The following is a 27,501-nucleotide window of genomic DNA, read 5'->3' on the forward strand; positions in this document are numbered from 1 at the left end:
TCTATATGTCAATTTATCTTTAATAATGATACATCTATACTTTTTAAATAAAAACTATAATAATTGTAATACAGATGCAGAAGATGAAAGGTCAGGAGAATATCCATTTTTGGACATGACAAAGTGTGAATTAACAACATAAAATTTAAATTCACAAAAAATTTAAAATATGTTAAACAGAAGACAAATATTTTAGCTGTTTATATTTTTAACGGAAAGAATAATGTATATCTCCTAATAAATAAATTAAAAAAATAAATATTGCAAGTATTAATTACAAGACTATTCTAAATCATGTATCAGGTATTTAATATTACAATATATACCATAAAATATAGATTTCACGATTTATAAAAGATACAGAGCATAAATCTTGACTTGTCATCAAGTAATGAGTGCTTCTAATGACCATATTTAACTTAGAAAATTAACCTGATTTTTTAACCTGATGCATTTCAGTAATAAGCATGTAAAATTTATTGTAGAGTTAATGTTAAAATAAATTATGGTATTTTATACAGGTTAAGGAAAATGTTTACACAGTGTGTCATGTGTGGCAATTCCCTCCACTGTATGGTAAGCTCCTCAAAGGCAGAAAAAATATTTTGTTCATGTCATATTTTTGTTTGTTTGTTTGTTTTGAGAATGAGTATCGCTCGGTCGCCCAGGCTGGAGTGCAGTGGCGCGATCTCGGCTCACTGGAACCTCCGTCCCCCGGATTCAAGCAGTTCTCCTGCCTCAGCCCCTCGAGTAGCTGGGATTACAGGCGTGTGACACACGCGGCTAATTTTCGTAGTTATAATAGAGACGGAGTTTAGCCGTGTTGGCCAGGCTGGTCTCAAACTCCTGTCAGGTGAACTGCCTGCCTTGTCCTTCCAAAGTGCTGGGAAACGGTGTAAACCCACAGCTCCCGGGCGTGTTTGTGTGTTTTTTGAGACGGAGTCTCGCTCAGTCGCCCAGGCTGGAGAGCAGTGGCGTGATCTCGGCTCACTGCAACCTCCGCCTCCCAGGATCAAGCGATTCTCCTGCTACAGCCTCCCAAGTAGCTGGGGTTACAAGCGCGCACCACCGCGCCCAGATATTTTTTGTATTTTAGTAGAGACAGGGTTTCACCATGTTGGCCAGGCTGGTCTCGATCTCTTGACCTCAAATGATCCACCTGCCCCGGCCTCCAAAAGTGCATGTCGTATTTGTATGAGTGTATGAATGAATATATATAATATTGTTAATTCTGAGTCTTTTAACTAAAGGTATTTTGTTGGGAGAATTCCCTTTATTGATCGTGAACTATGATGGGAGGAAGTGATTTTAAAAAATGAACACCCAAGATGAAGCACTTTCATTTGTAAATCTCAAGATGAAATACAGAAAAACTATGTATGCTCTAATAATTTTAGAAAGCATTAAATGCAAGATTGATAGGCATATGCACAAAGATTCATTTTCTTTTCTTTCATATGCTAAACAATTTTTAATCATTTTTAAAATTTTTCATTACATGTTCAGTTTGACTGTTTTTTTGTTTAGTGTAATAGAAATATTTTATAATACAAGAAAGGCCTGGCAGGGAAGAATATCAGGCCAGCAATCAAATCCCTCTTTATTTAGTTGTAAGCCCTGGACACTAGCAAAAGCACTTTGTTTTGTAACTTGTATTAGAGTAGTTTTAAGCCACGTAGTGGATTATCACTGTGGCGTCTTCCAGGTTGTCCGTTGTCTTCAAGATCAATATAAATTCAAAATTGCATTTAAAAACTTACAAAAAAAGATATTGATTGACTCTTACTTAAACCTCATCTAATTTTCATGTTAATCAGCTAAAGTCATTATTTGAAATGATTTAAATTAAAATGCCTACTATAAAAATTAACCATATATTCACGCATATAAATCATAGATTGATTTTGTTTCCAATATCAACTTTTTTGATGAAACAGGCATTTGTCTTTATGTTTTATGTTACAAAAACTTTGTAAGTGTAACTTGAGAACATCTGGTATTGGTGGGATAAAATAGATTGGGAAGTACTATATTTAGTGTTGGTACTGGCCTTTAATGTTAGGAAATCGATCATATTAAATAGGTGTAGTAGAAGGAATTTAAGTACAAGTTGGAGATTTGGAAAAGGTGACCTTCAATTGGTCCTTTTATCACTAAGCTTCTATAACTTAAAGTAATAAAACATTTCCTGGCTTGAAGTTCCTCTAAAAATTGAGTCCTTCATTACATAATCTCAAAAGTTACATATCTGAAATATATTATTCTATTTCATTGCTATGCATATATAGTGAAAATATGTAATATGCAGAACATTTATCTTTGAAAAAGAAGAAACAGACATGTTTAGTATTAGTTAGCAGAACATTGTTTTAATTAGAAATAATTAACTTTCATGTTTGCATGGGGCTCTCTTAGAAGACAGTGGCATTTATTAAATGTTTTCAGAACAGTCTGAAGCGCTCCTCATTTTCCACTTGGATTATATTCTAAGACAATAATGAAGGTAAAATGAATGGTATACTCTAACTTTGTATTTATTTTATTCTTCCAAGTTTGTGGTATTTATTTTAACAATAAAGTATCTTGGAAGTGTCAGTAGCTGTATTATAAACCTATAATTCAATCATATCATAATTCTTTTAAAAAGGAAAATAAGTTCTTATGAACAAGTAACTAGTATCTTGTTTATGTTTTTGTTTATTTCTGCTTCATTGTAACCTTTCTTTTCAAATGTACAATAATGCCTTTCTCGTCTTCTTTTGTGCTGTGTTTGATATGATACCTGGATGTGCGTTTCCCACTTTTTATTTTGAATTTATTAATTATAATCTTATCTTTTACTTTATAGTAAACTAATAAACTATACTACTAATACAATAATTTCCTTTTAATGTTTTGGATATTGAAAATAACTAACATGTCTCTAGGCGTGTATTTGATTTTGAGAAAGTGGCACATATCACTATTGACAATAGATTTATTTACATGAGTACTAAGACTAATCAGTCACTGACTAGGAGGTTAAAGTAATATTAAAACAGAGTGTGTTATTTTTGGCATTTTGCTTAGTGGATTAGGAGTTAGCAGACCTATGTTCTGAGTCTATAAGACATGGGACATGTCGATTAACTTTTCTATTCAGTTCTAAGAGATGTAATTCTTAACTATTTAGGAGTAGAATTTGGGTGAAAGGAAATAAAGACTAATGTCATCAGAATTATCAGTTCTATTCCAGAGATTTAAATGTGTAGGGGAGTTATAAAATTATTTAACTGTATAAAGATGACTTTTTTTTGTTTGTTTAAAAGTAAATAGTGGCTCTATGTTAGAAGTCAGCAAGTACAAAAATTTAACTTTTTTTTTTTTCTACATCCTGTACTGGCTGAACAAAACACTTTTCAGAACATACTTATCACAGAGGCTGCTAATGATGACTTCTTTGATGTAATCCTTAGACAAAGAAAAATCAAGAAACTATACTGCTGCTAGATTGAAAACTAAACAATATTTCTGCAGTATCTCCTTTAACATCTTTCATATAAGATTTACTACTGTATTAATAATACAATCTTCTGAGAAAACAATACATCTTATAAATGTTTCTGTAGCATAATTTTTAAAAAAGTGACTAGAGGTATCCTGCAACAATTAGATAATGTTTCTGGGTTACACAGGAAGACGATATAATAGAAAACTCAGTGACATAATGTTAAGTAGCTCATGAATCTTTGTGAAAAATATTTCATTTCAAAATATGTTTAAAATAAATGAAGATAAACTTTGTATAAAGAAAAGCAATGGCCATAATTTGATGAGAAATGTAGTAGTACAACTAAGTATTTTAAAAAGCACACAAAAAATAAAAATTAAAAAAAGTTCTTAAAGTACAGAAAAATTCATTGGTAGAGATAAACATACTAGGGATACACGAGAGTTAACATATTTTTGAATTCATAAATGATGGAACTGAACTAGTTAAATTTATTAGGAAATAGTATATATTCATTTTTATAATTATGTAAAATCGTAATGTACTCTCCATTTAAAAAATCATTAGAGACAAGTAATATGGTTCAGAACAGCCAATACATTTTTTTAAATCTTAAACTCCTAATTATGCCACAATGCTCATTTGTACATAGCACTTACTCTTGCATGTTTGATGTGTAAATATCAAATGTATGTGATGCTCAATTTTTAGGTGAAAGAAAATATATAATCACAATTTTACTATTGTGCTTAAATTACACAATAAATTTTAGAAATCAACATGTAGCAAGAATCTTTAAATGTTAGTTATTTGTACTAATATTATTTACCATTTATAATATTAAGGTCTAGTTAGTCTCAGAAGCCATTCTGATTTGTGATGCAATATACCAAAAATTTGTTAACTATTTTGTGTTATGTCTTTTTCACTATGTAGGGATGATACACAAAATATATTATCTATGTTCTCTGAATTTCTAACTTAAATTTTACTTTTCTATTTAAAGTTAGAAACCTCTCCAAAACTTTGATCAAAATGGAAAATTTAGTAGAAATGTATAAAACCATATAAATACAATCATATTGATTATATGAATAATTATTTAACGTATTTCAAGATTCTCCACTAACAAGACCATTTTCTATTTTACAAAAGAAGATCCTGAAGCTACAATGTCTTAGTGTTGAAATGAGGTTGACCTAGTTTCTAAATATTTGGAATCTTATTTTTCAATCATTTTAGGCTAAGAAATAAGTGTAAATTTTTCACTTGGAAAACTGAACAGAGTGGTGAGTATGGAGAGGAGACACTGTGTTTTAATAAAACTAATTTGTTAATTTTCATAGGCATTAAGGATTGGATAAAGTTATTGATTTTTATTTAGGAGACCGTGAACAGACTGCAAAACTATATAAAAAATCATGTAACTAATCATTGCATAAAGACTCTAAAATTTGTATATGGGCTTTCTTTCTTCCTAGAAATGGAGCAAATTCAGGAAACCATAGCACTTACGCAGATAACAGCAGATGCACCTGCAATGCTTGGCGTAACAGGTCTTACAGTTATGGTATGCTGTAAAATGTCAGGATTATATGAAAAATGTGGGATTTTTATATTCTCTTTAGGGATTCTTATAATTGGCATAATAAAAGTCACCATATGGGAAGGGTTACCATTGGTATAGTTCACAGATACTTTTAACACTTTAAAACTGTCTGCCCTTAATTTAATTGTTTTTAATCTTTATTTTCTGACAGCTTCAAATTAACTTTTTAAATTGTTTTCGGTTGTACAGTTAATATTAATATCCACTCAATTTATGCACTTTCTTGGGACTTTTTTTTTCTGATATATTATGTTCTCTAGAATACAAGTGATTTTCTTTTCTTTTGTTTTGTTTCTAATTGGTATTTTCATTTCAAAAGTTAATTTTATCATAGATAATTTGATTGTAAATTGTAACATGAAAAATGATAACTAATATTTTCTTACTCATGATAAAATATTATTACATTAAATATTTGTTTCGCACTCAACATAAGAAATCACTTATGTATATTATAAGGCCTTCTAATATGAGATTAATTAGGAAAGAAGAAACTTTTTGAAAAACAGCAGCCAAAGTTAATGACTTTCTTCAGACTGTGGACAGTGGCATATAGTCTTCCACTATGAATTTCATTAGTGCATTGAATAATTTTATAAATTTACAAAAAAAAAATACAGAAAGAAACAGAAGAAAATTAATTGCTTTAATAAATAACAACAGTCCATCATCCCTGTGATTTCAGGTCATTATATTTTACTAAAATTCACTAGAAATATTAATATCAGTGCCTAGATTCTGTTTAAAATAAACATAGATGGGTTCTGATGGTTGTATTTAATGCAGTGTTTTACTGCTAATTTCATGGCTATTCAAAATGCCAACACACTCATCATACCCATCTATGTTTTATATTTCCCTTTCCAGGTCCATTCTCCCTATTCTCCTCCTTGTTCTCTGCCCAGAAATTTGATCTGAATGGCTACATCCTTGCTACACAAATTGTGACATTGCATTAGAAGCACTGGCGTCACCTGGGAGCTTGTTAGAAAAGCAGAATATAGAGCACTACTGAGAACTATTGAATTAGAATCTGCAGTTTAACAAGATCCCCAGGTGATTCTTCCTAACATTTAAGCTTTTGAAGCAGTAGACTCTATCAACAGACTCCCTTAACCTCTGGGGGATTCCAGCAGGCGGATGAAGGGAGGGAGGAAAGTAAGACCAGAATTTTTATTCCACAGGATTCCTCACCATTGCAATTATTGGAGTTTGCTGGACTCTTAATTAAAGGGCATTTGTCTTTTAATGCAAGGCTACAATAGGACTTTGTCCAACATCTCACTTTCTTCCTTATCCCAACAACGTGGGAATCGTAACAGCCCAGCTGCTGCTACCATAGGTTACAGCATGGTTCCTTATGGTTTCTTTACATTCACTCATTCGGAAATAATCCTTTGTAAGTAAAACTTCCTCAAATTAGGCAACATTCTATTGTTTTGAAATGTACTCTGATGAACATACCTCTGGTACATGGAAATTATTAGAGATTTAATTGAAATCTACATCTCAGATACTGTATTCAACATCTCTTAATTTTTTTATGACCACCATTATACTTCAAAGGATAATATCTAGGTAGAATTATTGTTGGCTGTTGCTCATCATCCTACCATTGGTTGTTCACTCATTTCTTAGAAAATGTTTTGAAAATCTAGACAACGCAACTGTGCTGTTTTCTAGCAATTATGTCTGTAAGAAACACAGAGATTCACAAAGATAGAGTAGATAAACAAAATTTAAATGCGTTGGCTGTATTGAAATTGAAAAGTAATTCAATGAAAAGTAAAACTGGCAAGAAAAAATATGGAGTTAATAGAAATCTGAGATGAGTTGAATGTTACACTTTACTTTTGTATAACTTATACATGAGAGCAATATGAATAGTGTTAAATCAAACTGTATATATTCGTATCCAATATTCCATATCAATATTGCATTAAACTATGTATTTTTTCCTAAGGAAATAAGCTACCTAAGACATTTAAAACTGTGCTAATTTTTTTAAATAAATTTGTTCACATTTATCTTTACCTTACAGGATTTTTATATAACCAGAGTATATTTTCTTCTTGCAAATGATCCAGAAAGGGGCAGTATCATTTACTGGCTGTGCATCTAAAGCATTAGGTACTCTATGTGTACTATCTCATTGAAATCACAAAATATCCATGCAAAATTATCGCCCCTTTCAAAAAATGTAGAAATGGAGAAGAGCTAAATTAATTGCCCAAGGTTATCTATATGTTAATAAAATATGGTCATTCATTTGACTCTAAAACTTCAATACTATCATCTATACCATCTGACTATAGATAACATAATTCCATATATTCAGTCAGAACTCTCTCAAGTGCGTATCTTAGAAAACCATAAATAGATGCAATTAGTGTATCCTATCCTAATTTATTAATTTTGATATAAAATTTTAAGTAATCAATAATATTTGACCCTAAATATGTTTACCTTCATAAGGCACAAAAGCTTTATTAACTGGATTTAATATTGAATGAAGACATCAACTATCTGATGATAGTGCCAAGTATAACCCCGTGGCCTGAAGCCTCATAATACTTTATTTTAAAGGTGTGAACAGATGAAATTAAAAGGTGTAGCAAAACCAACTGCTATGTGAAATTCAAATAATCATCTAGTCCTTTTAGTAAAATCATCTTTGGCTGCATTCCTTTCTAAAGGGAAAGTTCAGAAGAGTTGATGAGACTTTTTTTTCCCCCTTAATATAAGCCTCCTCAATGAAAAATTTCTAACATCTCTGGGCTCTGGATAAAATTAATCTAGAAATTTCTGTCACTTTAGTTTCATTTGCTATTATGAGAAAATACAATTGGAAGAATAATTTAAATAAAGAGAGATCAAGCATCAACAGTAAAAAGCAATAGTCCATGCTTTAGAATACAAATGATGTAATTGTGAAGAGAAAAATATCCTACGCAATGCACCCTAAACCTAACACCACGCTGTTCTGCCACATATGAAGGTTCTGCTCTTCCTAAAATTGTAAAGATTAGTTGTGTGGTTTCACTCTGCGCACAGCAGGGTAGCCATATGCTCTAGAAAACTACATGCAAGGAAAGCAGCTTGTTGCAAAAGTGGGTGAAAATGCCCTGAAATAATTCTGAACAAGATAAAAATGTCTCTACATAGGACCATTTCTTCATATTCCAAAAGGCAGAGGAGTCTGCTTTGGCATCAGCTTTGAGCACAAATAGAAAGTCTAGCCCCATCAAAATATTTTAACAAAGAAAAAGATTTAAAAGTCACATACGCCACATTCACTGTGACGATCTCATTCACAGGTAAAAGAAGCTCTGGTAACCATTTGGGGAAATCAGCTACACACATAATGGTTTCATCTCTGATCTTTAAAGTTAAGCTTTCTCTTTTGATCAATTCAGTACATATTATTATCTTTCCTTATTTACTCATTCTATTAAAAATGAGATATAGTGTGTTAATATAAAAATAAGCTAACAAGATATCTGATTAACGGTTACAGGTGAAAAAAACAAAGTGGCTGAAAATCTGAAAAAAATATATAGGTTTCCTTAAAGACCTACTCAAAGGAAATAAGAACATTGACATCAGAAATTCTTAAAATCTTTACATAGGACTAACTCAAAAGCATGGCTTGAAGGGTAGCATTGGATAAAAATGTTAAAATGGTTACTTGCAGATTTGCCATTTGTGAATAAAATAAATTTTCATTGTTTAATATTGTCATTCAAGTCCTCAGGCATTCTGAGTACTTTTATCTAATACATTTTAAATGTGCATAAACCCGTTAACAAGTAAATTCTAACATTTTATTTTTTCTCTTCTTTCTTCTTAAAAACAACTTATTTAACAAAACATAAAAGAATTAGAAATATAAAAATGTATTTACTGTCATGAATGACATTGCTTTGACAATTTCAAAAATGTGATGAAATAAGGTAATGGATAGAAAATAAGGATGCTATTCAATAAATATGTATTTAAATGATAAATTGGTACATTTCTGAACATGAATTATTAAATAGCTCTATAAACATTAAACACAACTTTCCATTAAATAACATAATTAGGGAAAGTCAAGAGAACAATGGAAAAAGTAAACAAAAAGTATGGCAGGATATTGATAAAGCATACAATGATCAATATTTGTATGTAACTCTCCACCCAAAATGTTGACATTCCCCTATTTTTTGTATTCACTTTACCAATGTCAAAGTTCCGACATCCAAAATAAATAAATAAAATGAATAAAATTAAGTAATTCTATAAGAATTATACATAACCAGATAATTTTTTAAAAGTTATAAATTCTGCAGTCTATTATTAGTTATGCTTTAAAGATGCTATTAAAATAAATACATTAGTTAGTCTCATAAATAAAGACCTGGGAATTCAAGCAGACAAAGGTAATTTCACCATATATATAAAATAAGAAAACAATGCTTAAAGATTAACTCCTCAGAATTTTTGATTTGGCATCAACTTTTGTATACTTTTCTTTTTTCTCTTTATTTTCTTTTCTTCTTCTTTTTTTCATTTTTAAAAATTTTTTTTTTTACTGTTTTACCTCCATCTATCAACCTTTCAGGGATTTGAAACATGGTAAGTAAAGGGAAACTAAACCCTGATGTATTTTTCTCTTTGTTATTTGATACATTGAAAAATAACAACCATTTTAAAGTATAGAATTTTGAGTAAAATTTAAAATTTAGAGCTAAAATTTGACTTGGTGTTGATTTTCTTATTCATCTATTCCTTTATTGATCTTTCCAGTAAAATCATAATGAATGTCAATAGCTCAGCCATTCTTAAAGGTTGCCAAAACTAATTAGTGTCATTAACATTGATTCAGAAAATCCATCTGCCTTAAAATATCCCTTGCACTCATAAATTTCCCACCATTTGAGTCACTCGTATGGAATAAAGTTTAGTTTTTACTATATTATCCAAGATAGCTTGTCAACACTGTGATTATCCTAGTGGAGAACAAAATCCTATGAGGAATAGACAGTGTTGGGACTGTGTGATAAATGTTGTTCTCTCTCCATGATGATCATCTTCATCTAAGTTCTTGCTACTCAGTGTATGAGCAAACCTAGAGATCTGTTAGAAATGCGAAATCTCAGATCCAACTCCAATTCCATCAAGTCATGATCTGCATTTGAACAAGACTACTAGATGATTCATGTCCACAATGAAATTTGAAAAGCGTACTATAAGACCTATACTCCAAGAAACTATCAACTGTTACTTGCATTTCTGTATCTTATTATTTGTCTGCTTGCTCCTATTCACTTGAAATTTCTTCTTCAAATTCATGCTAAAGTGACTCCTTTAAAAATTACATTTGATAATATATGTTCCCTGCTAATGTCCACCAATGGTTTAGATAAAAATAAAGCTCATTTTTGAGGCCTAAAAGCCAAATGGTGTTTTTCCTACCTATGTTTCCCACCTCATCTACCTTACTCTCCTCCTGGTGCACTGAGTACAAGAATTAGTAGGTTTTATTTTTCTCAAGTTAAACTGAAGCTTTTTTTAACTAGCTGTTTTTTTTCCTGGTGTGCTTTCTCCTCTGAGAAATTTCAAGGCATAGCTCCAAGAGCATCTCTGTCTGCTTTCTGTTGTTTAGGTCTCAGTTTAAATTTTAACTCCCCAGAGTCCTTTCCTTACCATCCAAACTAAGGCAGCAATCCATCTATCATATAGCCTATTTTGATTTTCTGCACAGCCCTTATTACCATCAGACAATTATTTACTTGTTTATTGTCTTTTTCTTCCTCACTTGAATATAAGTTCAATAAAGCAGGGTCTACTAAGTTTTGTTCAATACTGTATACCCAGCAACTGGAAGACAGCTTGGCACTCAGTGGATATTTGTGAGAGAGAAAAAAAAATTAAAAGAAAAGAAGATGGAACAGAAAAAAACTGAAAAGAAGTAAAGAGAAAAAAGAAAAACAAAGAAAAAATGAAAAGAAAGAATAAAGAAAAATGAGTGAATAAATACATAGTAGAATGTGGTAGTGAAGAGAGTAAGAATAGCACTGTCATCTGTTGTTAGAAATAACACTGCCTAAAAGAACAGCTAGGACTGGACCTCCAAATAAAGAAGTTTTCGAATTTAAGGCATAGATGTGGGCATTGGGCCCAGAAAAAAAAAAGTAAATATGGCTGATTTCACATTTAATGAGATAAGTAGATTGTTAATCTCTAAATTCCTTGATGGTAGCATTGGCCACTTCTATGTTTGTTTTTACACTGGCTATAAATAATCATTAAAATAAGTACATGTCAGCTCAACACCAGTAGGGAATATAAAGTGATGGTAAATACATTAATTAATATATAATATTTCTCTATAGAATCATAGACTTTTGGGATTAAAAGGGACAGTGGCAATCATATTATTAAGATATTATTTGATGCTTTAGTGATTTCTAAATACCCACATTGTCCATTACAACCTATGCTTGAATGTCTTTGAGAATTCACTGCTTCTAGTAGCACACAATCTATATTTGAAAAAAAAAAACTGAATGTTAAATCAGTCTTCTTTATAATAAACTGCTTTGCACTGTCTTATGGTTCCCTACACTAAATTCTACAACCTATGCCAGAGGACAGATTTAATCTCTCTTACACAGAACAACATATCAAGCATTTCAAGACAGTTTTACCTCATCCTTCCTCACATGCCATACCCATTCTGTGGTAATTCTTTCTCTTATAATTGACCTATAATTTTTCTCTGTAATCTAATCTCTACAACTTTTTCTTTGGGAATAAACACTATGCAATATACTTTTGAATTCACCACTTGCTCAGTGAAAGATAAGATGTACAATAAAACCCTGATAATTGATTACTTGCTGGGCATACATTAGTATCCATAAAAATATATTTACATGACTACTCATAAACTAGCTCCCTCATTGTGATGATGCTTATTAAGATTTTAAAAACAACATATTTTAGATTTAGAAATTCATACTTTATAAAAGTCTTAATACAATATTTGAAAACAGTGTTAGTTGCTTGCAAACACTTGAAAACATTTAAAATATATTTTATGCATAATAATATAGCCTATTAGTGATGGGCACATAATAAGCACCTAAAAATTGTTACTTTCACACAATGCAGTTTTTGATGTAAAAGAGTGTTACACCAGTTCTTGAATCAAATTTGTGACATAGTAATCTTCTGACATAAACTGGCAATTTAATGTGAATATTAAATCTGTATGATTGTTTGCTGTTTTCTTATTTTTGTTGAGCCTTATAAATATTCAGATGAGCTTACTTGAAAACAATATAAATTATGGTAACAATAAAAAATTCCTGCTTCTTTGGATTAAAATTGCTCACCTAAAATAAACGTTTTATGCTGAATTAACCATTCTTACCTTAAACCTAAGAATAATAAATAATGTACTTATTTAAAAACTGTTAAACTAGAGTTTCTTTTAAGCTCTAGTGTTGGAGGAGAAAAGTCTACATCATATTCAATCTCAATTCAGCATAATTTCATGTAACTTTATTAACCAAAGTAATATCCTACTGATATGATCATTACCATTAAATGTACTGTGGCATAATTGACTATACTAGGTCAAAATAAACAGTAGTAATGTCTATAAAAACCTCATAACATATATTTATTTAATTCCATAAGATGTTGTAGTTATCTAAGTTAAATTCCCATCGGGAAGTCCAATAAAAAATAATAATTATTATATGTGTATATGAAAACGTTCCCAGAAGAATATACCCAAATTTTGTACTTAAAAACAGCAACTATCAAAACTGCTCTTTAACAGCTGATAGGACTTGTCCACATATTGAAAAAATTTCTATTATTCTACTAAAGTCTCCAAGAAAAGTAATGCTAAAGCAAAATACAGTGGAGTAAAACACATCTTAATTATTATTTAACATAATAAAATATGACAAATAACTCCTTGAGAAAGGATACCCAATTGTGCTTATAATCTGTTATTTCAAGTTTAACATCACTTAATGAAAGACCACATATCAGACACTAAATGAATCTTGAATGAATCAATACTAGTCTAGGACTATCAATACTAGTCTAAGACTGGGTTTTTATACAGTTTCTGCCAGTCCATAATTTTCTCCACAAAATAATGATATTTACTAGATAATTTGTAAGTTCCCACCTAATTCTAAAATAGATAATTCTAGAAATCCAGGAAAATTTACTTATTATTTCTAAAATCATGTCATTACATAGGTTCTTCTATTTTCAAGTCAATGTTAGGTAAATTCCTAAGGCTGTAATATTGAGCTTTAGGGTTTAGGGATTATTGAAAAAGATATTTTAAGTTAAATATTAACTTAAATATGGCATGAACCCAGGAGGCGGAGCTTGCAGTGAGCCGAGATCATGCCACTGCACTCCAGCTTGGGTGACAGAGCTAGACTCCCTCTCAAAAAAAAAAAAAAAAAAAAAGAAAAGATATCAAAAGAGATCTTATAGCTAAGGCAGTAAATTATTCTGATGAATTTACAAATGTCACTAGATATATATCCGTTATCTAATTTTAAACATCTGGATATTTTGTAAATAAAAAGTCAATTATTTTTAAGCTTACTTACATTAATGTATGTCTTCCTTCAAACATAAAACAACTTATTTATTTTTGTTGCAGACTAATATTTCTATTCAGCCTAAATACCCACTCAAACCATTTTGAATGGGTCTTAGTGACATAAATATAATTTACTAGTTTCAAACATTAATTCAGCTTGCTTTCTTTTCTTTTTTTTTTTTTTTATATGGAGCCTCTCTCTGTTGCTCAGGCTGGAGTGCAGTGGTGCGATCTCGGCTCACTGCAAGCTCTGCCTCCTGGGTTCACGCTATTCTCCTGCCTCGGCCTCCCGAGTAGCTGGGACTACAGGCGCCCGCCACCACGCCCAGCTAATTTTTTGTATTTTTATTAGAGATGGGGTTTCACCGTGTAAGCCAGGATGGTCTCAATCTACTGACCTCGTTATTCACCCGTCTCGGCCTCCCAAAGTGCTGGGATGACAGGCGTGGGCCACCACGCCTGGCCTCATCTTTCAATAATTAGTTCAAATATTCTCTGAGCAGCCCTCTTTGACTCATATTTAGAGGTTGTCAGTCCCTCTACTGTAATTCAATAACATTTCAAAAATACTGCTATGTAAGTGTTTCTCATAATAAATTTGTGATTCTTCTTTTTTATTTAAAGTTATGTAGACCGCTCTATGGCATTGATTGTATTGTTCATTCTCATGTACCTGCTATCCAGTACAATGTCATGCACATCACAAGAGCTAAAACATATTTTGTGAATAAAATGAAAATAACAACCATCCTATGACACAGGTGTTCTCAGCTACTGAGAAGTTGTGACTTTGGGAATTGAACTTATTGCTCAAGATCATAAAGCTAACAAGGGGCAGAGTATAGTCTCAGCCTAGTTCTTTGACCAAAACTCAAAGTTGATAGTAAGCAATTCTTTTTTATCTTTCCATTGGGAGAAAATACCTAAGAGTTTATGGCACTTCCAATCATTACTATGTTTAATGCTTATAACAACCCTGATGTAATATTTTGATACTACAAAAACTACTTTGCAAATATAAAATTTTAGCTATAATTGTTCATTTGACCTGAACAAACTCTCACACATAGTAGTTTGCAAAGGTGGACTAAAATGCAGTCAAAAATATTAAGTTCTCATTTTGAGGACTATTGTACACTAATACAGCAAAGTGAGGTGTGGTGTTAATATGCATTTTTAATAGATCTAAACCAACATTGTTTATTTTCTTCCTCTTTTGCTTCTTTTTATCTCAACGTGCAAAGAATCTTCAAATGGAGGAGACTGCAAATAATTTTCTGCTACTGAGAAAAAGTAGAAAATAAAAATTTTAAGATAATTTAAATTGTTGATGTTTTAACTATAGTACAATAGGAAAATTAATTGGAATGGTACCCTATAAAGAATTGAAAATATCTTTGAGAAATATTTTAAGTTTTTCCAGATTATTCATTAATTTTACAGTTGTTATTTAAATAAAAGTTATAGTGAGTTTATTTAATTTATCTATGTGTTAATTCACTTAATTAACACATAGATTAGTCTGTACACATTAAGTACAAAATACTGTGTGTAATCCATGTTTCTATGTGTTCATAATAATATTGATGTCAATTATTAATACATGCCCCAGTTTATGAAAACAGATAAACTGGGAACCATTAATGATCAAAAGACATAAAACTGAAAGTTTAACTGGAATGTGAATAAAAAAATTAAAAATATTAAATTATTACATACTGCAAAATAGCATGAACTTGCAGACATCGAACGGACCTATGCTATAGTAATCTCTTATATTTATGTTTTACACTGTAATTAACTTCAACAAAATAATATTCAGTAGAATATTTTTTCATAGGATATTTTTGACTTTATAGTTTGCTAATGGTTAATTATAAAATTATTTTGATTTTATAATCATTCAAGGGCTAAAAGCAAGGCCTTTATATCCAGTTCCATTTTGTGAATTTTGAACCAGTAATACAATAAAAGCAATATATTATTATGGATTAATGAAAATATTGTTGCCTTTATTTAAAAAAAACTGGTATTATAACTGTGACAAAATGTAGTTATCTTTAATACTGAAATATGTAGAGATTTCATTATCTTGAAGAAGGTAATTTCAAGCCTTTAAATAATTTAAGTAAATTTTCTAGCAAGTGAAATTATAAACACTTATTCATTAGTTTGACAACTATTTTTTAAAAAATATCTATTGGTCAGAAACTGTACTAAGTACTGAAAATGCAGCATGAATAAAACCCACCCACTCCTTATCCTCAGAGAGCTTAAATTTTACAGGAAAATTTATAGGGCTGATGATTACAAATGCAAGCTGCAATGGCAAGTTATAAGAGGAATATCTAACCTTCCTAGAGGTAACAATTTAAGCTAAATCTTGGAAATTAGAATTATGTGGTTAAAAGGAACAAGGATTAGCTTCTCAGAGTATCCTTAGGGAGAAAAGAATACAGTGTTTGGCTAATTAAAATAAATTGTGTTTTGCAAAATAATAGAGTGATTGTGAGAGTTACATGCGATGAATTTGGAAATATGGAAAAAAGTCAGATCATGCAGTTTCCCGTGGGTCATCACCAAGTCTCTGCTTTATTCTTAAGAGCATTGATTAATCACTGAAAGCTTTAAAAGAGTAGTGTTATACGACTGGATTTTTATTTGTAAAAGTTCATTTTAACTATATTGTGGATAATAGATCAGAGGAATAAGTTTTTTTCTGAAATATCTAAAAAAATTAAGCAATTGGTTTTCGGTTGTTTACCAACTCATTGAAAAAGTAACTTAAAAGACTCACTCTCTGCATACACACTGTAACTTCTTTAGTACTTTGATCAGAATTCATTTTACAAAATCTATCTTGTACCACTAGAATGGGTTTTTCTATGTCCTCGACTCTATTGCAATGTCCTGCAGGAAGGGGACATGCATTATTTATCTTTATTTCCTCTAGAACAGAATCTGGTACTGAGTAAGCATTTTAGGCATGTGTCTGAGCCAAAATTATTATTTTAAAAATAATACTAGTTAGATGTCAGCCATTTCCAGTTTAGAAATTTGGACCTGCTGGTAATCAAGTCTTAGAAGATAGTTTCATAACTAAGAGCATAGCTATATTTTGAGAACTTCAGAAAACACTAAGCAATAGAATAGTAGGTTTCCCCTACTCTTAACATTGATGAATATTTTTGCCCATAATATTAAGAGATTGTGTCTAGAGTGTAATAGATAAGTAGCAAACCAAAATCACTGAACTAGTAGTAAGTTATTGAAGAAGAAACAGAAGAACCAATTTGAATTAAAGTAGAAAGTTGATAAAAGTATAACAATTTAAGTCACTGTCAATAATGATGAATACATTAAAAATGTTTTCCATATAATGTTTTACATCTACTTTGAAAAATAAATGAGGAATACATTTCCAAGGTACATGGCACCACTGAATGCATATTAAATTCAAAATCACCATTTTGTAAAGAATATGGGGAAAGGTAAAACAGGTATCAATCTCTCAAACAGCACTGGGAGCTTATGATAATAATGGAGAAAGTTTGAGCACTGATTGGGAATCTACCCGGGAAGTACTCTTGAAGCTTAATTAAAATTTACTTGAAGAAACTTAAACATTTTATATGGAACCACCTTAAAAGTATTTAATTTAATTTAATGGTTGACTATTAAACTTTTCTATTTTCAGTCTGCATTATTGTTCCAAGTTACATAAAATTTTAATTTATAACCACAAAGTTTATCACACCACTTGACGGCAAACTTTGGCTAAAGTAGAAATTGTATTATTAGTTGGTTTTACAATAAACTTATGTCAGAAATTATCCTCCTTCTATATGATGGGTAATAAAATAATTTCCAGATAGCCTACCAATATTAGCTCATGCAATTTTCCAAAGAGAATGAAAAAATAGTTTTTAACATTTTAATATAATTTTACCTATTTAAATTTTCTGGTAATAAGACAAAAACTGTTTACTTTATTGAGTAAATCACAAATTTTAACACGGTCCCTATATTCTTATAAATGGTAATATTTATAATAGGAAAGTGAATATAGAATCAAGGTGATATTGATTTAATCTTTTTGAGAAGACTATTATAGGTTAAAAATTCATTTTAGAATGTGCCTCATTAAAGAGAATCAAAGTAAGTATTTTCAGTACAAATTCGAATGGAAACAAACTTCTGAGATATTTTTGTATTATTTTTAATTAATGTATGTAAAGATGTCTTGATTTCTATCCTTCTTGTGCTCTAAGTATTGAGCACAATACTTATACAGACCATTACTTAAATCATGGTCTGTATAAACCATGCCTAATCACACTGCAAAAACCATAGCCAGTTTAGAGAAAATATTTTGATATCTTGGAAATGTAGTAGATATTTTATACTTGAAATATGTTCAATTAATTAATGTTCTTACAGATACATATATCGATATAAATAAAGACCTTTTATTATTTTATACTACATTGAATTTTTTTCCTAAACTTCTCTATGACACTTGCCACCAAGAAACAGAAAAATGTATTTTCTAGACTTCCTTATTTTGTAAAAGGTAGGCTTATATTAACTGAGTAGAAAATTACCAATGTAAGATGTGGTTTTATGTCATTTTTCTCTAAAAATAAATTAGACATTTAAAGAATACTTAAATTTTGGAGGCATACTATCAATGAATAGCTGTTACCTTTTCAAAATGAGAAATCTTTCAATGCAATCATATGGGTCAGGCAAAGAATAAGCTATGTAAAACGATCACCAGATATAATGTTTCTATGTTTCCCAATCAAACTGTACATATTCTCAAGTACTAACTAACATTTGCATAACATAAAAATATCATGCAAACGCTAAAAATTACTACATGGGATAAATCATCTATGTGTAAATATATGCACTTATTAATCAAAACTGGCTACTTTATTTTCCTGTTTTGTGAACATCATCATAACTGGTATGGAATAAATAATAAGTATTTGGTACTTGTTTTTACTGTCCTGTTTAAAAATGATTTCTGTTCTACTTTTACCCCCTCCCCCTCCAACATTTGCATTGCACTTTGACTTATTTTTAAATTTCAATTTCTATGCTTTCAAATTATTCCAGTTTTGGTTGTTACTATCCATATTTTTCAGCTACTTTGAACTTTTTCTTTTGCTTTCTATATCTTGGCTCTCTTTCAGCTCATTCTCTAATTAGAATCATTACCAAAATATAGCTTTGGCTGTAACTAAATGGGCACAAGTAAAATAACATCCAATACCTCTATGAGTAACAACTGCAAGCTCTTTAGTTCTTTCTATCTGTTCAGCATGTCTTGGTCTTCTCCTGGTACTTTGTGTATCTGCTGGATGAGGAGAGAGCCCGTCCTTGGACGTGTTGGGGTCCAGACCTGAATTTCTGAGACTCGTAACTTGCACTCGCTGTTCCTCGGAAAGTCTATGGATGGTGACAGCTGTAACACTGGATACAGTAACATCTGCAGGTGTGCTAGCAACAGCAATAGCACCAGTGGTAGTCCTGTTATGCTCCTCTAACTCACCAGTGGAGGTAGTGTGGGTCAATGTAGAAGAACCTGTGGGACACAGTAGCACTAGATGCTAACTTTTTCTTTTTAAATTTTGTTTATTTTTTCTGATAAATTTAATCAATCATATTCTCTTCTATTACCTTAAGGATAATCAACATGAAGAGGCAAAACACAAACACGCGAGTAAATTGTGAAGCGCACTAGATCTGTCGGTTTGTTTCTATCAACCATCCTATGGATAGATATACACACAAAATATACCACATTTTAACTGTAATACATTGAAGAGAGCAGGTAAAAGGGTAAACCCTTTATGTGGCCCTGAATCAATCTTTTAAAAAAATCTACAGATGAATTTTAGCAACGAATGCCTGGCAAGTGTCAGGTTTTGATGGAATGGGTAACTATGTAACCACACTTTTCTCAAAAGTATGCTTTGAATAGTCTGCCATATCTCTTCACAGTTTCTGGGAAAAATATCAAAATTTTCTATTTTAAGACAAGCAAGTGAAGAAAAGAGAATTTAAAATCAAAGCCAAAATGAAAACAAATGATGAAAAAAAAGGGGCACTAAAATAACCACTATATGAAAATGTGTTTCTTAACCTCATTTGTGATGAGCTAAGTACCTTAGAATTTATCAAGTTTTTAAAAATTAGTTAATACTTTCTACTATTTTTAAGTAATATTTTAGTTTAACCAATTCTGAACTAATTAAAATTAAGCAAATTATGAAATTTGGAAGTGGTTGAAACTTAACTATTATTATACAGCACGTAACTTTAATTCACACAACGCTAGTTTTAACAATTGGTTGGGAATTTCTAAATATCTCATAAGCATTTCAGAGTGTGTATATGTGCGCATGTGTGTGTGTATAATATTACCACATTTTTATTCTAATTAAATATTTTTTAATAATTTAGAAGTATGTATTCAAAGTGTCAAATTAGAGTTTGCTTTTTCATTTTATTTAATGTTTTTTAAAGGAGGTTGTTCATGGTAGTTCATAATACTTATATAATGAAAAAAGTAACTTTATAATAGAAGCATGAAATTGAATGGGGGTATATTTAAAAGGATCTTGACAGCTAAAATCCTTAACAGCAACAACCAAAAAAAATATTGAAATTTGGAGCTGCAGCTACTCATTAGGAATCATAGTCAGATCCCGGTTGGAAAACTTCTGAATATTTTCTAAAGCCCCTGAGTGGTATATGTTTTTATACACTTTTCTTCGCAACATTTCAAAATTCTGTTAGCAATGTTTACTTAGATATTTTAGATAACAATGCTAGGGATATTTTAACCATTCTGAAAGAGAAAAAAAAGCAATGTCAATATGGTTTGAGAATACTCTGCCTTTTTTATTTTCCTCTTGTGCTGTAGACAGGTGATTAGTAGGACTAATAATTCTGCTTTCTGCCTTAAATTCAAAAAGGAAGAAAGGAAGTCAAACCTGGAGCCCCTCACTCACAGGCAAACAGAAAAGCCCATTTCTGCCCCTGATTCTTCCAGGTTGAGTCGTCATATCTGAATTTGATTCTAGAAATTCAGAAGTATTAAATGATTTTTGTATTTTGAAAGAGCCAAAAGTAAATGAGGTATGACGATTATCAAATTATTTTAAATATTTTAATGTTTTTAAGCATGAATCAGATAGCTTCTATTGAATATTTATCCAAGTTGTTTTGTGAATAACCTATTTCATAGATCAGAATCTACTAAGTTCACATTGGTTATATAAATCAGGTTGCAATATTTAGTCAGCTAATATTTGATAATAATTTTTTAACCACATGGTTAAGCAATAGCTATGCTTGCACTACTAAAATACAGTAATTGAACTCATGGTAAACTGTACATTTGTGATGTGCAGTTTCATACATACATCATGATGAGCTCATGTGCTCATTACTATGAAACCTGATCCATATTGTCCTCCTAGAGTTTAATTGAGCCTTTTTATTTTTGACAGGAATATGAAATCAGAGTAAAAACTAATGCTTTAATATTTTTATAACCTCATCATAATTTTCAGACTTTCAGGTTTAATTTTAATAAAAGAAACTATTAACTATAAACATATGTTGGTAATTATAAGCTAAATTTATGAGAAATAATGGAATTTATACTATGTCACATGTCTGAGCACGCCTACCTTTACCAAAGGGATGGATTAAATTATCATATTCCATCAGAGTCATTATGATCAATCTCAAATAATCCCTCGAATTTGAGTCAATAAATCTGAGATAATCCTTATGAACAGGCTTAGGGGGCTTAGGCTGCTTCTCTAATCACTCAAGACCTGCAGACCCAATCCAAACACTCACTTTCTTGAAGACCTCAGGGGAGAAACACAGTTCCAGACCAAATTTTGGAGTTAGAACTGATCTTTGGTAATGTCTAGACCCAGGACTTTCTAGCAGTCCCAATCTTAAAATATTTAGCATAAGAGCTATACTTCCCACCAACGGTGATGAAGATTCAGTACTATTCCCTTAACCTAAATTTGGGACAGTGTTTAAGGTTGAAATAAAGCATTAAACCCCAGAATTTATTTAATAATCATAATCTAACCAGATATGTATTCCAACCAGGTATTTTACTAACCAGTTCTTATGTTTTACTTATATATTGTGTTCATATTCTTTCCACACCATACTGGGAAGCAAGCTCCCTGAAGGCTAAAATTTTTGTATATTGATTTCACTGCTGAATCCCTAGCTCCTAGAACATTGCCTAGCACATAGTAGATGCTCCAGGAACATTCATCAGAAGAAATAATAAATAAAGAATGAATTCAATAGGACTAAAATAATATTAGCAATAATAAAAAGACACATTTCACAAATGGAATATGATTATAATTGTTACCATGCAAAAGTCGCATTTCAAACAGTGACATGAATGAAGAGCAATTTCAAAGCAGGGGGAACATAAAATTTTGGTTTTAACTTTCAAAAACATCACTTTGAAAAAGTGTGGAATCTGAAGATTAAGTTGCATAAGTAATAATTACTTCAAAATTTTTGTTGTTATTTCCAAAACAAAAGTTTAATCTGTTAGTATAAAATAGATTTACTTAGAATATTCAACGTTGTGTAGAATTAAAAGGGGATATATGTCATGCTTACAGAAAGTATAAATGCATCTAAACTTAGATATGTTTGATACATATAGTGGAACTATAAAGAAATAACACTGATTTCCTTTTTAAGGTAATAAAGTCATCCATTACCATACAGTTATGTCATATATTGCATTTACCATTTTATTTTAATATTAATGGTTTGAAATACTGATATTGGTAATATTTTAAATTGGCAGTGTATGAAACACAGATTTTTAAATTGTCAAGATTCACCACTTAACAGTTTAAAAATACTCAAAATTTTTGAATACACAACTATTTTATTAAGTAATTGCCAATGCTGGAAAAAGTCTTAGAATTATGTATAGCAATAATTCAATATTAAATATACACATAGCTATCCAATGTTAAAAGGATACTTTACTTTCATTTTTGAAAAAAATTAAGTATGCTACACAATTAGGTAAGCATTGTCTGACAGCACAGTTAAATGTATATATTACAAGACATAAAACTCAAAGGAAGAAAACGTACATTCAGAAAACTTTCTTCATTTGATATCAAATGATATATACAAGGTGTAGCTTATCACAATTAGATTATCCTGTCATTAAGTTACTTGAGAAAAATCTAAAAATAAGACGTTCACAATATGAACTTATCTGAAATATAATTTTAATAATGCTATTTAACAAAATATTCCTAAACTAACAAAAATGAAATAAAAATGATTTACATATATAAACATGCTTCACTAAGTCATAACTATATGTCATCTATGAAATTATGATAATGGAAAATCACTTGTTACACATATAAGTTTGAAATTTTATTTAATAGTAATAGTACAATGTTAAATTTGAAATTTTATTATGTGTTTTCAAAAATTTTTTGAAAGTTATTAATTTTAACAAAATATGTACCAAATAATACCTCATGATAGAATTTGAACTTCATTTTGATTAAATTTTTTGTCCTATAGTTTAAAAATTTTATGTTGTTTCTTTGTAATTATTCTCTAACTCATTACCAAAATAAAAAACAGAATATATTGCTAGAGATATGCATGGATGACCCAAAATATATAAGAACATGTAAAAATAACTACATATTCAAAGAAGTTTTTAGGTACTTATGTTTAGCACATTATGTTACATAAATTAGTTTAATATATTCTGTTCCTTCCTTTAATTTTAGTGTTTCATATGAAACATTTGAATGGAAATTTAACAAAATAATAATAATTTTGTGACATTGTGATATGTAATAAAGTAAAATGCCATAAATGTTTAACATTAAAACATCTAAAATAAAAATTATATATACACAAATAACACCAACATAAAGTCTAAATACTACGACTAATTCTATTCAAGCCATCATTTGGAGAGTCATTAGCATATGTAATTTAATGTTTGTTATTTTTTTCTTCTTTTCTTTAATATGACTTCTGTGAAACTTATAGGAAAACACACCAATAAATGAGGACACTTGCGAACTAATTGAATACGAGGGTATGAAGTGAAACAAAGCTCTGATTTGTTACATTTTTAAAAATTTCGTTTTCATTAAGCGTATGCTAGTTGCGAAAATAATTGAAATATTTTGCATTATAAAAGGTATTAATTTCAGTATTTTAAAATCTGGCTACCATAGTATTCAACAGTTCAAACTGGTAGATGGGTGCAAACTATGAATATGCAATTTAGAAAAGAGATGGATTAACTGAAAGTAGCCCTTAAAACTGTAGGGGAAATAGAAATGTTTTACCTTTGATTAACTGTTATTAAGTATAAAAATATCTTTCTGACTAGGAGAATTTTAAGTAAATCCTGGAAAAGAACTAGTTTATAATTTTCAAAAAATGTATATCTACATTGATCTTATAAAATTTGATTTCAAATTAAAATGCTGTATTTATGTTGAAACTTCATAAGATTAAAATCTTAAAATATATTACTCAATAATACAATATAGCCTTGATTATAAGAGGCATATCTAAGAAAAAAACTGCAGCAATTAAATTATGAAATGACAATGCAAAATTGGCTATCACTTGTGCCCAGATTTCTGAGAGGTTAAAGTAAAAAGAAGTTCATCTTAGTGATGTAAGAAAAAATTCAGTAATTCATGTAACAGATTTTCTAAGATTAAGAATAAATAAATAGGTAAATACTAATTTAAAAATATAATTGAGTTTAAATACATATCACCTTTCTGAATTTACTGACATATTGATATGTTTATTTTTATGTTATATATTTTGTTAAAGTTTATAAGCGTTAAATAGGAAACCAGTATTAAATTTTGCATTTGGATTTGCTGTCATTTATCATGTACAAGTGGCCTTGATGAAATAATATGCAAAATGAATGAATAAATAAATAATATATTTGCAATTCAATCTGAAACTGATGATAGTAAGATTTGTCAGTAAATGTAGTGGTACATCTACTAAAATCACTTTGTGACTAAATTAATAATTGTAAAACAAATATTAACAAATTATACACTATTACACAATGTTTATATGCAAGATAAGGATCTCAAATTATGAATTGCTAGAAATTTTAATAAACACACATGCCAAGCAACCATAAATACCTTTTTATATGAAATATGGAAATATCAAAACTTTTAGAAAGCCTTAAGGAGACTACAGTTTTGGTGAACCATGACAAAACAATACGTACACATAAATGTATGAATGTTATATTAAATATTGCAGTTTTACCCTAAGAAGGAGAATGGATAGACATCTCATTTCTTAGTACAAAAAATATAATAAGAGTGTGCTAGAGAAAAGCTATTTTAAATGGAGAGTTTAAGAATCTTGAAAATAGTATCTCTCTCTCAAAAGATCGTTTCTTGCTTCACCCAGTTGATTAAGAGAAATTTGTAGAATTAAAGTTCAAAGTAGTATCACTTTAATTTTTCATGCGTTTTGGAGGTTTCTCCGATGTGTAGAGGTGCATCATAGGTGTCATTTTTAAATTTAGATATGCAAATCCACAAAAACACACACCACTTGCAGAAATAAATTTCACACAATACAAACTGAATTCTTTTTAAGTAACTAAGTATAATAGTCTTATAAGGTCACAAAACTGACAATAAATGTTGAAGACCTAGGTTTTAAAAGAAGAATCATGGCATCATTGTTACATTTCACAATAAGAGAAAGAATAGGATGCCCCTCTACATCTTTGTACAACCATCAACCAGAATCCTGAATCTTTAGATCTTTTTGTTGAGACACCTGTCATCTCTTAACTAGAGTAAAAGCATTTGTCATTCTGGGCTTCCCCTAAACAAACAAAATGAAACGTCACACACACTTGTTTCATTCATTTCCACGTAAAATCTTGTGGAACAGCTGGCAGCTCTCATGGAAGAATATTTTATTGCAAGATGTCATGTCAGAAGCACCTCATTTTCATACCCTTGTTTTCTCTGACAATCCTTGCCTTATTAATATCATTTGAAAGCAGAGAACATGTCTTACAGAGGCCTTATCCCCTATTTCTGACTGAATATTTGATATATATGTGAGGAGAGAATAAATTAGTAAAAATGTCTAAATATATTACCTTCTTTCTGAATAATATAAAAGTTTTGTATTTAATTAATACTTAATGATGGCAAAATTTATTTTTCAGGATATAAACATAAGTAAAGAATTGGATCTGTTCAGATACATCCAAATAATGCAAAACACACTTATAACATACTTTTGTTTTATATTTCATGTGCTAGAATAGAGGTATGAAAAAGAGGAAGAAACATCCGACACACAGAAATTACTTATTCATTTATGTTTTCTCAAATAAGAGTATCATTTCCCCATCTGCTTCTTCTATCTCCCAATATTCTTTCCAAAAACCCAAAACCTGTATTTTATAATGATAGTATTTGTTTATTTTGAAAGAGAAAGGAGAAAAGTAAAGAAAATTTGTGGGTGGGGTTCCCTTTTATACCAATAATTATTGAAAGAAAAAATAAGAGCAGTCTTTATCCTAACCTACTCATCATATCCCTGGGTCACAGCTACCTTCACTACCTGAATGTATCTCTGTTTATCCTTTGTTTTCTTCCACAATGACTGGCCTTTAAGTTTGGGACCTATGGAAGTGTCATCATTTTTCATTAATTGTAGATGTTCTTTAATGCCTAAAATATACATAAGCCTGCTTTTATGTATGTGATATGATTTAATGGAACCAAGAAACTACGCTTATCCCCCACATCTTTCTCTCTGTGTACCTCAATGGTGTTAAAAGATGTTCTTAAGAATTAAGTATTGCCCAAAAAAATTATTCTCTCATAACCAGACAAATAACTTTTTGATTGATAGAGGGCCATACTAGATTAATTGTTTAACTATTCCACTTTAATTAGTTTATTATTAAGTTTTCTTCCCTTACAAAAATACTTGGGGAAATTTTAGAGATACATGTTTTGGGGAGAAGTGTGAAGTTTGCCATAAGACCATTTAGTGATTTTTATTGAGGCATTTATCATAAGTTGATATCTGATCCATATGATTGTTAAATAACTGGAAGAATAGGGTTCATTATTAACAGGTCTGGTGTAAAGAAGGTGTGGGTGGCTAGGAAGGGCTGCCATTCTGGAAGAAAGACTATTATGGTGTTGACTGTGAAAGGGTTGCTGAGCAACTGGTGAGAAGCTGCATAAATACGCTCAAGTAAAGTAGCCTAATAAGAAACACAGGCCAAAAACGTCTTACTTTCCTGCAACAGACATTTTGTAGAGCATTTGGTATTCTGTAGCAGCAAATTAATTAGTAGAAGGAGTTATTTTCTCGAAAATAAATACCAATTTTGGCTTAGAAAAAAATAGCATGTTGGAGGGGAAAAAAAACTTCAGAAATGATAAGAATATAGTCTATCATCAAAGCTATCATTGCCCTAAAAGCAAATATATTATATATGAATATTATATATGGGGTATTACATATAATTATATATTTGGATATTTATATTTGTCCATATTTAGAGATAAATGTATTTCTTATGTGATTATTATGCTAATTTCCTTTACACAAATACCTTTCATTTAGAGAATATAAGTAAAAAAGAACAAACAAAAACTGTCTTTTAATACCATCAAT

The 27,501-nt window shown here is 30.2% G+C and overlaps 1 protein-coding gene across 9 annotated transcripts in view; it reads right to left on the minus strand.

The window, feature by feature from the left end:
* CSMD3 (CUB and Sushi multiple domains 3) overlaps positions 1-27,501 on the minus strand; it is a 1,214,012-nt gene that overhangs the window by 733,903 nt on the left and 452,608 nt on the right. For 5 of the 9 annotated variants that reach the window (XM_047421314.1, XM_017013008.2, XM_017013009.3 and 2 more), the window contains one exon: positions 19,007-19,318. The exons of the other annotated variants lie outside the window; for them this stretch is intronic. In XM_047421314.1, the coding sequence (XP_047277270.1) occupies positions 19,007-19,318 (312 nt within the window). The remainder of the gene's footprint in view (positions 1-19,006; positions 19,319-27,501) is intronic. 9 annotated transcript variants of the gene reach the window in all.

This window comes from Homo sapiens, chromosome 8 (assembly GCF_000001405.40).
Source record: "Homo sapiens chromosome 8, GRCh38.p14 Primary Assembly".
Classification (NCBI taxonomy): domain Eukaryota; kingdom Metazoa; phylum Chordata; class Mammalia; order Primates; family Hominidae; genus Homo; species Homo sapiens.